This window comes from Homo sapiens, chromosome 2, assembly GCF_000001405.40.
Source record: "Homo sapiens chromosome 2, GRCh38.p14 Primary Assembly".
NCBI classification, from domain to species: domain Eukaryota; kingdom Metazoa; phylum Chordata; class Mammalia; order Primates; family Hominidae; genus Homo; species Homo sapiens.
The window spans coordinates 222,704,374-222,716,301 of record NC_000002.12 but is presented as its reverse complement, the minus strand read 5'-3'; the positions used below and the strand labels follow the sequence as shown (position 1 = coordinate 222,716,301).

General features: G+C 42.2%; 1 protein-coding gene across 1 annotated transcript in view, besides 4 other annotated features; it reads right to left on the bottom strand.

The window, feature by feature from the left end:
* Window positions 1-6,371: 6,371 nt before the first annotated feature.
* MOGAT1 (monoacylglycerol O-acyltransferase 1) overlaps window positions 6,372-11,928 on the bottom strand; it is a 38,273-nt gene continuing 32,716 nt past the window's right edge. The window contains exon 6 of the mRNA NM_058165.3: window positions 6,372-6,566. Within this exon, the coding sequence (NP_477513.2) occupies window positions 6,412-6,566 (155 nt within the window). The 3' untranslated portion in view covers window positions 6,372-6,411. The remainder of the gene's footprint in view (window positions 6,567-11,928) is intronic.
* Window positions 6,478-6,772: an enhancer, noted in NCBI's record as "tiled region #6546; HepG2 Activating DNase unmatched - State 1:Tss, and K562 Activating non-DNase unmatched - State 1:Tss". NCBI's record gives its function as "activates a minimal TATA promoter and a strong SV40 promoter by Sharpr-MPRA in HepG2 cells, with weaker activity in K562 cells {active_cell/tissue: HepG2 | K562}" and the evidence as "EXISTENCE:reporter gene assay evidence [ECO:0000049][PMID:27701403]".
* Window positions 6,478-7,012: a biological region, named in NCBI's record as "Sharpr-MPRA regulatory regions 6546 and 9925".
* Window positions 6,718-7,012: an enhancer, noted in NCBI's record as "tiled region #9925; HepG2 Activating DNase matched - State 1:Tss". NCBI's record gives its function as "weakly activates a minimal TATA promoter and a strong SV40 promoter by Sharpr-MPRA in HepG2 cells {active_cell/tissue: HepG2}" and the evidence as "EXISTENCE:reporter gene assay evidence [ECO:0000049][PMID:27701403]".
* Window positions 6,719-6,908: an enhancer, noted in NCBI's record as "active region_17168". NCBI's record gives its function as "activates an Ori minimal core promoter by ATAC-STARR-seq in GM12878 lymphoblastoid cells {active_cell/tissue: GM12878}" and the evidence as "EXISTENCE:reporter gene assay evidence [ECO:0000049][PMID:35858748]".

Sequence of the window (11,928 nt, the reverse complement as noted above, 5' to 3'; positions counted from 1 at the left end):
GGAATTTCACTTTTACCTTCTTCCATTGTTTTGGCTAGTGTCTGACTGACTAGATTTTATACCACAGCTTTATTGAGATATAATTCACATACCATCAAATTTACCCACTTAAAAAGGAGAATTTCAGGGGGGTAGTATATTCGCAGCATTGTGCAACCATGACCATGATTAATTTTAGAACATTTTTCATCACCCCAAAAGAAACCCCATGCCCATTAGCAGTGATTGACTTGATTTGTAATTTTCAATCTTTTCTACTAGTTTTTGAATATTTCTGAATCCGAGGAGCCTCTTTGTTTCTCCAGGCACATGAGACCACGGCAGTTGGCGGACTCGTTTCCTCCTGCCAGCCCCAGTTCTTCTTTCATTCCTGTCCACCTGCAGTTGTCAGTTAACCCCGCCCCCGCTTTCTGCTGTATTTTATATTCCATCAAGAGAATTTAAAGTACTGACTCCTCACTCTGACAATTTGCAATTCTCACAGTTTCACACCAGTTTCCTCGCCGATATTCATCCTCAAGTCTAAATTAATTCAGCCTCGCCAAAGTGTGGGAGATGAAAAACATTCTATCCAGGTTGAAAGCCACACTCATACATTATCACTCAGGCATAAAAACACATTTATTGGTCAAAACTTTTACAAATGGAAAGCTTTTAAAAAACATACCACAACGAATCCCATATAGAAAATATACAAATTTCACAGTCTCCTATAAAGATTTTAACAAGTAATAAACAGTGTTATTCCATAGTTTTGAATGATAGAAAGGAGGAAACTTCTGAGATAAATTCCACCTATTTTTATTTAGGGAATTAAATTTTTTCTCAGAAACACATGACTAAATATTATTGTGATCCTAGAGAAATTCCAGTAGCAATTTGTTTCATATATATATATATTTATATAATTTGTTTTATATATATATAAAACGTGTGCATGTGTGTGCATGTATGTGTATATGCACATATACACACATACATACACCAAGAAAGTGAGATAATCATTTCAGCTCACTGCATTTCTTGGAGGAACAGAAATAAGTGACAAAGGCGGAGGAAAAGGCAGAGTTATCAGGTAAACCTACACCTCCAATTAGATGTTATTGCCTTGACAGATAAAAGGCCAGGCAGAGACCATAAGATACAGGCAGAAATGACCTGGAGGATCATTCACTCCCAACTCTATTTACCTAGGAAAGAACAGAGTCCAGGTTACCTAGCCAATTACTAGAAGATCAGAGGCTGAAGGACTATCTAAAACAGAAGGCTGGAGAGTAGAAAAATGTGGCAACCAGGTTCTAGTTCTCTGATTGTCCCCACATCACTGCAAACCCACATTGCAGGGTCTGGAATCCAACCAGAAAGATCTAAGGCTCCAAGTTGGTCTGGAAATGGAGTAGGAGAGAATTAAGCAGGCTTGGGGAACGCCAGCAACATCAGGTTCATGTCTGTTCTCAAGAGAGCCTAAGATGATTCTTAACCAGAATCTAAGAGCTATTAAAAAAAAAAAAAAAAAAGCAGCTGTGATAACTCAGCTGAATGAGGCTGGAGCCAGAATTGAGTCTGGGCTTAGTACCATCAATGAGGTGACAGAAGCTCGGCCTCCACCTCTGTCTGAGTAATAGGATTGCTCTGGCCTGCTCTAATGATCACAACACGACTGATGGAAGATTTTTTTCTGGGTCTGTCAGTTGTCATGGGCATATGACACCTTGCCTTATTCACTGCTCCAATACACAAGGCTCTCGAGGCTAAACTTGTTGTTGAAAACTTGGACTTTTCCCAAGACACAGCACCAAAATAGCTCTTACAAAAGGGAAAAATCAACAACGTGGTGTACCGGCCCCCAAAAAGAAAAATGTTCTCAATGCCAATAAGACAGCTTGATTCTGCACTGTTTAATCCCTTGCTTCAAGTGGATTTTTAATTACGCTCTACTTTTTTTTGACACTTCTGTTTTATAGGAGGATTTTTAGGTTTATTAATCAGCAATCATGGACTAGGAGTACCTCCTGCTCAATCTAGGGAAGAGTAATAGGAACATGGAGTCACTTTTAATCTGCATGAAACTTCACTAGGGTTCAACTGCTTCATCGGCAGAAGGAATAATTAGACAGATGATGAAGTCCCTTCTAGTGCTAAAACTTGGCTTCTTTGACACAATCCACCAGATTTCCAGGTTAGTGCCACAAACATTCCCCAAGAGACTACTAGAGACCTCCTCTGTTGGGGTCAGGATTGAAATGAAAACAAGACACAGATTCTGCTACTGAAGAACTCATTATCCTATGGGTTAACATGGATTGAGATCAACTTTCTCCTTTTGATATAAGATAGTAAGGCACTAAGCTGGAGGTGTTTGGGAAGGATTGACTATAACAAAAAAATATAAGGTACTAGAGAAATCTCTTTGTTTTAAATATAAATAACTGCTTCTGTGTTTGCAATCCTAGAGAAACAGAACAACTGGGTGGTTATTTTAGAAGTCGCCCTGTTTTTCTCCCTTACAAAGATATACAAATTCTACTTGAAGTAACTCCTCCAGCCCTACAAATAGACATTTGGCTACTTAGGTTAAAAAACACAAATATGAGAGCTAGCCATCTTGGGCTATTGACAAAGCAACCAATCAACAAATCTTGCCAATGGTGTCTCTCGTCAGAGGAAAAGAATATGAGCTAATGCACCCCAAAACTGTTTTCATATTTATCACAAACTTTAGTAGCCTGCATCAGTGAGGTAGTTTGAAAGAGACGTAAAGTTACAGATGTGTGGACATGATAACCAGATTCCACCTCCATGTTTCCCATGATAGAAACATACATTCTACCGAAAGCAGGGATGTCACTTTTAATCCTACGCATACAATAAAGGTTCACCCATCATCCCTAACATATACACATTTTGATGTTTTCATAGTAGTTGCAAGGGATTTGCAGCAAAACATCTAGCATCACTTACTGTTCCCCTTTGAAAAGATCAAACTGGGCTGGCCTTCATAAGCACTGAAGCTGCAACCTTCATCGTGAGCATGATAGACGTAGCTGGTCATCAACAATTTCATATGCTTCTAGCTGCAAGACAAAAGCAATGACTCAGGCTGCACCCAGGGTGCAATGGAAACACAGGGAAAAATGTCCAAATCAAACAGCATACATGCACATTTTCCCAAGGAAATGTTTCTCTTACAGTGTTCTACGGTTATTTGCATTATCATTGTTTTGCTTTGCTGTTTAAAAAAAAAAGTTTTGTTTTTTTTTTTTTTTGAGATGGAGTTTCACTCTTGTCACCCAGGCTGGAGTGCAGTGGCACAATCTCACCTCACTGCAACCTCTGCCTCCTGGGTTCAAGCGATTCTCCTGCCTCAGCCTCCTGAGTAGCTGGGATTACAGGCACGCACCACCATGCCCAGCTAATTTTTGTATTTTCAGTAGAGACGGGGTTTCACCATGTTGAAACCCCGCCAGGCTGGTCTCGAACTCCTGACCTCAGGTGATCCACCCACCTCGGCCTCCCAAAGTACCGGGATTGTAGGCATAAGCCACCGCACCCGGCCACTGTTTAAAATTTATGTGCAATTACCTAGTTGATGGGAACCTTTACAATGGAAGATATCTCCATCAAGCCATACTAGTGAATATGGCCAACATTTGTCTGGTAGCAAAAATTCATATGAAAAAATTCATTAGCGATCTACAGGACTGGACTATATGAAACTTACAGGTATACTTTGAATACATAAAAAGACTTCTAGCATGGCCAAATTAAGACCTCTAGAGATTGTAATACGTGAAGAGATAACCCATCCTGCATACCCTCTGCCATGTGTACTGAAAAATAACATTTTATGTATGCCAAAATTAAAGTTGCTTATGTCTAGACTTTTTAATGGCAAAATTCTAGATAATTTCATGCGAGCAAACTTTTTTCACTTTTTAATGCCTCCGATTTACAAGCACGGGCTTTAACTGCCTGCTGGATAACCCAGCGGATGTTGGGTGGTCAGCTTCACCTCCTCACTACTAGCTGTGAGATTAAAACGCATACCTCTGTGAAATTGCAAATGATGACGTGGCATGGGCTTTTAACAAACTTCTCCAAGGGGATACAACTCATGGGTTTTAAAAAATAAGTTAAAGGTCCTGCTTTGACCAAAATTGAAGTAATTTCAAGCCCACAGGTCAGTGGACCCCTGGATTCCTCAACTAGGGTGAAGCCAAAGGGATTCTGGCCCAAAAAACTTCATGTAGAGCAATTGAGAAGTTTCAGGCTTTTTGTAGGTGACATGCCCTCCTTCTTAAGGCATTACCCAGCATGACTGTATTTTGCTGTGACTAAACCCCAATCCAGCCTCTAGCCCAGAGCTGAATATTTAAAAATTGGAAGCCTGAAGACATATTACCAATAAGTTGGGAGGCAGCTCCCTGAAGTTGCCTACGAACACCTGGAGAAGAGGAAGCACAAAAGCAAACATCTAGCAGTGGACATGGGTTGGAAACGAGACATTCTTCTTGTCGAATGACTAGTTACTTAACACTTAGTGACTAATTATCAGAAACCTCTTTCTGACTTGCTCCCTGTGAATTGGCTTACGGTATTGTTGATTACCGGTTCAGAGCAATCAGACACAGCAAATATTCTCCTTCTGCAAGTGGGTCTTACCTTAAAACAGGTCTCATCCTATGGTACAGCTTTAAAAATTCTCTGCTTAATGGAAAAGTTTGTTTGCATGTTTAGCTATAAATGCATTCATCAAACAAGTACTTACTTTTTGCCTACTAAGCGCCATAAGCTGACCTGGGCACTGAGGGGATGTCAGTAAACAGGAAGGACAAGGTCCCTGCTCATGCTGGGTCAGAGAAGAGTCCTAAACCCGGCGAACTGTGAACTGGACGTATCTCACCAGGGAGGACACTTTCTTTCTTTTTTCTTTTCTTGAGATGGATTCTCACCCTGTCGCCCAGGCTGGAGTGCAGTGGTGCAATCTCCGCTCACCGCAACCTCCGCCTCCCAGGTTTAAGCAATTCTCCTGTCTCGGCCTCCCGAGTAGCTGGGACTACAGGTGCCTGCCACCACACCTGGCTAATTTTTGTATTTTTAGTAGAGACGGGGTTTCACCATGTTGGTCAGGCTGGTCTCGAACTCCTGACCTCAGGTGATCCACCCGCCTCAGCCTCCCAAAGTGCTGAGATTACAGGCATGAGCCACCACGCCCAGCCGGCACTTTCTTTTAGAGATTATTTTATAATGAAAAGGCCATTCAGGAAGCAAATTAAAACCATTTCTCTTAGCATGAAAATTTTTTGGAATTTCCTGATATGGAATTTCCAGAATTTCTAGTCCTGAATCATGTGCAAAAGCCTGTCTTCCAAATAGATTTCCCTCTACAGCAAAGGAGCATGATTCTAAGCATGAATAGAAATGAGGAACCATTCTCCTGTCCACATGAGTTTTCGTATGACAGATTCATCCCATTTTGAAAATGGCAAAAAATCCTGCACTAGTATTTAAAAATTTGTTGTTGATATGACCAAAGGCTCAAACTATCTAAGTATTAAAAGTATCTTTATTCACTAACAAATGTCCTGTTCAAGCAGAAAAAAATATTTCCTCTAGCTGTATATGGCGAACTATTTTACACAGTGTCTCCCAAATGGGCTGGCTGTGAACAACAGTTGTCACATTTTGTGAAAACACCACCTTAAGTTATTGTGATGTTTAGTAAGAGGGTCTAATTATTATTATTATTATTATTATTATTATTATTATTTTAAGACAGAGTCTCACTCTGTCTCCCAGGTTGGAGTGCAATGGTGCGATCTCAGCTCATCGCAACCTCCACCTCCCAGGTTCAAGCGATTCTCCTTCCTCAGCCTCCCTTGTAGCCGGGATTACAGGTGCCCACCACAATGCCCAGCTAATTTTTGTATTTTTAGTAGAGTCGGGGTTTCACCATGTTGGCCAGGCTGGTCTCAAACTCCTGACCTCAAGTGACCTACCTGTCTCGGCCTCCCAAAATGCTGGGATTACAGGCGTGAGCCACTGTGCCCGGCCGGGTGTAATTACTTTTTGAAGCTTTCTTTTGTTTTTCAGAGCACATGAATAATTCTAAACTTGTTCATAACCTGTAAAATGATTTTGCCTTCATAGGCAAGGAAAATTATTAGATGTCTTATAGTCATCTCCAACCTTATCCTACAGTCATCTGTGTTTTTATTTACCACAGATACACCAACATTCATCGCCATAAATAATACTTTTCTGTTGCAAATTTGATGCCACAGGCAAAAGAAAAAAAATAAACGTCTTTAAAATATTTATTCTCACAATAGGATGGTCTCTTATCCTTCTTTATGCCTTATTACAGCCAAGTCATTTATTTTTATTTTTTAATTTTTTTTTATAGTCAAGTCATTTTAAAACAAGAGTCTCGTGCTCTGGAATGCCATACTTTCCTTTGTGTTCCTCAAACAATTTCCTAAGTTCCTCCATATAGGTCTGATGTAACTCCTCAATCTGCTCCTGGGTCGGGTTCAGAGTCTGACGAACAGGGATCGGGCGGCCAACTGCAAATCAGGGAATACATCATACGTGAGGAACTAAAACCACTCCACCACAGACCGCCGCCCCTAATGCACAGCTGTGAACACAACTGCCAATCAGAATCCCTCCAGCCTGCTCACTCCAATCCTTGTTTCCTTTCACTGGCTGCCTGCAGTGGTCACACCACTCCATCTGATAACAAATAAAGAACTTTCCTCCTCAGCAGACACTGGATTGTCGGGACCCTGGTGGTTTTGACTTTGAGTCAAATGAGCTACTGTGCTGACTGCAGCTGGGAGGTGAGTGGACATAGCTGTGTGTCCACGTCACCAGCTTCCTCCCTCTGGAACAGTTGACAGCCAGACCATAGTGCCCTGATTATTACTGACTGTGAATCCTCACGTCACGTGGCAGTCCTCTAGTCTGACTCTTCTTTTTGAGACAGAGTCTTACTCTGTCACCCAGGCTGGAGTGCAGTGGCACAGTCTCAGCTCACTGCGAACTCCGCCTCCCGAGTTCAAGCGATTCTCTTGCCTTAACCTCCCACTGAGTAGCTGGGATTACAGGCTCCCACCACCATGCCCGGCTAATTTTTTTTTTGTATTTTCAGTAGAGACGGGGTTTTGCCATGTTGGCCAGGCTGGTCTTGAACTCCTGACCTCAAGCTGGAATTACAAGGGTGAGCGACTGGCCAGGCCCAGTCTGCCTCTTTTGAGTGTCTTTCTAAACAATTAAAAAATACATATCTTCACAGCTAAGTATCTGTATTAGAGAAATACACATAAATGACGTGGATTCCATTGTTTGTAATAGCGGGTAACTGAAAAACAGCTAACGTCTCAATAGAAAAACTGTTAAATAAACCATGTAATAGTCATTCAATAGAATCCTAGGCAGAAATTTTTAAACAATGAAATAATATAAATATGTGTACACATACACAAATACACACAGATGTCTAAAATGTATTAAGTGGAAAAATAATTTGTAAAATAATACAGTATGATCCATTTTTGGAAAAAATGTTTATATTCCTAGAAGTATTATACGTTTTTAGTGCATGGAAAAAAGTCCGGAAAGAGAGAGAAACATAAAAGTTCCTTTTTGGTAAGGACGTAGGGATGGGGAAATTTCACTCTAACTGTGTTATATAAATTTTCTACAAATGAGAATGCATTTGTGTTTTTCCAAATACACTAATTAAAAACAAATCTGGCAACCTCTATACATATTTTAAAAGGTGTTTATATAACATCTCACTTGTCTCTGATTTTTAGAAAATACAAAAATTCCCATGGCTTTGGCTCTTGCACTCGCTGCGCCACCTGCTGGTCGGATGCTGCTACTGATGCCAAGGGTTGAAAATGTACAGGATGGCCGGGCGCAGTGTCTCACGCCTGTAATCCCAACACTTTGGGAGGCTGAGGCGGGTGGATCACCTGAGGTCAGGAGTTCGATACTAGCCTGACCAGCATGGCGAAACACCGTCTCTACTAAAAATACAAAAATTAGCCGGACGTGGTGGCGGGCACCTGTAATCCCAGCTACCCGGGAGGCTGAGGCAGGACAACCTCTAGAACCCAGGAGGCAGAGGTTGCAGTAAGACCGGATTGCGCCACTGCACTTTAGCCTGGGGGACAGAGCAAGACTCCGTCTCAAAACAAACAAGCAAACAAACAACAACAAAAAAAAGAAAATGTACAGGAAGTTCAATGAGGCAGCAAACTGCTGCCTCTGACCTCATTAGCTTGGGCATGAGGTCAGGTGGGCTCTAGGTAATGAATGGGACCCACAGTAGAGCGACCTTTGTCCTATCCTGAGTCATCCCATGTCACATACGAGGTTCTGATTCATGTCAGTAAGAGTAGGTGGTTAGCTAAGCAAAATATGAACAAATGTTAAGTCACAGAGAAGGAAGTGATAAATGACATCAGTATGGGAGCTGAGGGGGCACAGAGGACACACACACATACACACATCCTTACTGCAACATTAATATTCTCAAATTGCTAAGAATTTAACCACACATAGCCTTGAAAAGCTCATGTGGTTTTCTTTGATAGCTTGGATGTCACATTTATACATAGTAGACATAAGTCCTGTTTAACTCAACACAAAGAACTGGAAACAACCATCTCACTGTCAATTGTGGCTGGAAATATGGACTAGCAGAGGCCAATGTAGTGATGAGGTGGAACTGGGAGCGGGAGTTGCACAAAAAGCACAAGGCTGGGCTGGGTCTAGTCCCAGCTCACCAGTAAGTGCCCTGAGCAGGTGACTTTCTCTCTGGCCTTAATTTCCTTTCCCTTTCCCTTTCCCCTTCCTTGCCTCCCTTCCCTCCCTTCCCTCCCTTCCCTCCCTCTTTCTCTTTTCTTTTCTTTCTTTCTCTTTCTTTCTCTTTCTTTCTTTTTCTTTCTTTCTTTTTCTTTCTTTCTCCTTCCTTCCTTCCTCCCTCCTTTCCTTCCTTCCTTCCTTCCCTCCTTCTTTCTCTCTCTCTTTCTTTCTCTTTCTTTCCCCTCCCTTCCTTCCTTCCTTCCTTGTTTTTCTTTCTGTCTCTCTTTCTTTCTGAAATGGAGTCTTGCTCTGTCAACCATGCTAGACTGTAATGGTGTGATCTCGTCTCACTGCAGCCTCCGCCTCCTGGATTCAAGCAATTCTTGTGCCTCAGCCTCCCCAGTAGCTGAGATTACAGGCATGTGCCACCACGCCCAGCCAACTTTTTTGTATTTTTAGTAGAGACAGGGTTCACTATGTTGGCCTTGCTGGCTTCAAACTTCTGGCTCCAAGTGATCTACCAGCCTCAGCCTCTCAAAGTGCTAGGTCGGCGTGAGCCACCACAGCCAGCCTCTCTGGCCTTAATTTTCACATGCATAGGATAAAAGAATTCCAAGATCTTGAAGCATTCTTCCAGCACTGAGCTTTTTTGTTGTTTGAGGAAGATATGGAGAAATCTACATGTAAATCTAAGCAAATTTGTGGCTTTGTTAAAATAGCTTCTGTTTTCTTAGTGAAATTATTCCAGTGAGAGAGGTTAATGTAACTATTCAGGGTAGGGGTAAGGGACCAGTAAAAAGACTCAGTGGTCTAAGAAGATGAAGTGTGTTCTTCTCTGCTTACTTTAGCTAGTACTCGTACATTCTGAATTAGTGAGTCTTCTTTCCTCTGAGCTATCCTACAGCTAATTTCAATCCTGTTCTTTTCTCATTAATTGTTTTACTACATTTCAGATGGTTCTTCCAGAGAGCTTAAGCATGCTCACATATGGAATGAATTTTTTTTTTTTTTTTATACAGAGTTTTTCTCTTTCTCCCAGGCTGGAGTGAAGTGGCATGATCTGAGCTCACTGCAACCTCTGCCCCCCAGGTTCAAGCAATTCTCCTGCCTCAGCCTCCCAAGTAGTTGGAATTACAGGCACGCACCACCATGCCAGGGTAATTTTTGTGTTTTTAGTAGAGACAGAGTTTCGTCATGTTGGTCAGGCTGGTCTCAAACTCCTGACCTTGGGTTATCCACCTGCCTCGGCCTCCCAAAGTGCTGGGATTATAGGCGTGAGCCACCACGCCCAGCCTAGAGTGAATTTATAATCATAAGACTTATCCCTTTAAACTGTGAGATAGACATAATCTTCTTTTCTTTGCCTTAGTTGTAGGAAAAGTGAGGAGCTGAAAGTTCCTAAACTATACTCAAAAAAGCCCAGGAAATTAATACGACTTAAACCCAGCATTCCTGCCCCTGCTTCTTAAACTAACCCCAAACCGGATTAGAGAGTAAGAAATCTTTCTCAATTGCATTTTAGGGATGAAGCCAGAAGCAACAGAACACAGATTATAATCATACCTTTACTAAATAATTCAAAAAAGCCCATCTCAGGGAAATGAGGTTGAAAGCTACCAGCCTATTAGCAGTGGAAAACAACCTGCTATTGTGAGTTCAGTTCCAATATAGCTGCCCTGAAGCTAACTTGTGCCTATATTGGAAATAAAGCTATTATTTATCGAGGGTCTACTAGATGTTATTCAGTCAAATCCCCGGAAAAACCTAGCAAGACAGCCATTATTGTCCCTGTTTTACAAATGAGAACAATGGGCACAAGAAGGCTAATTAATTAGCCAGCCCATGGAAAAACACCACAAACCCGAATGACGGTGTCAGAAATATAAAACTTCAAGGAATGGGCTCCAGCCAAAAGACAGAGAAATGAGGACATTGAGGTATCCATGCACCCTCTTGGCTCTCAGACAGTCACTTCACCTTCTGCAAAAGGGAGGACAGATGGAGAGAATAGCTCATCAGGGCCTTGGCTCTGAGGGCCCCTAGCTTGCTTCAAATCCTAGCCCTATTGTCGGAGGCACTGGAATCAGTGCAACTCCATCTTGAATAGGGGCTGGGTAAAATAAGGCTGAGACCTACTGGGCTGCATTCCCAGATGGTTAAGGCATCCTAAGTCATAGGATGAGATAGGAGGTTGGCACAAGATACAAGTCACAAAGACCTTGCTGATAAAACAGGTTGCAGTAAAGAAGTCGGCCAAAACCCACCAAAACCAAGATGGCAACGTATGACCTCTGGTCATCCTCACTGCTACACTCCCATTAGTTCCATGGCAGTTTACAAATGCCATGGCAACGTCAGAAGTTACCCTCTATGGTCTAAAAAGGGGAAGCATAAGTAATCCACCCTTTGTTTCGCATATAATCAAGAAATAACCAAAAAAATAACCATGCTCTGTTTACGGAGTGGCCATTCTTTTATTCCTTTACTTTCCTAATAAACTTGCTTTCATTTTATGGACTTGCCCTGAATTCTTTCTTGTGTGAGATCCAAGGGCCTTCTCTTGGGGTATGAATCCGGACCCCTCTCCTGTAACACTATCATAACCTACCCCTAATCCCTTAGGCCCAACATTCAATTACTTGGGGTCTCAGCCTGCATCAAAGACCTGATGAATTATAAGCTTTCATCACATTTTACTCTTACTTATCATGAGAGCTCAAGGTCCTCATCTGTGAAACCAGTATAATAAACATCCCTGCCATACCCAACTCCAGTGTTGTGAGGGTCAAATAAAAAGATCTACTTGGAATTGTTCCATAGTGAGTTATTGCAAATTGGGATACTCTTTTTTTTTTTTTCTGGAGACGGAGTCTCGCTTTGTCGCCCAGGCTGGAGTGCAGTGGCGCGATCTCGGCTCACTGCAAGCTCCGCCTCCCGGGTTCACGCCACTCTCCTGCCTCAGCCTCCCGAGTAGCTGGGACTACAGGCGTCCACCACCACGCCCGGCTAATTTTTTGTATTTTTAGTAGAGACGGGGTTTCACCGTGTTAGCCAGGATGGTCTCGATCTCCTGACCTCGTGATCTACCCGCCTCAGCCTCCCAAAGTGCTG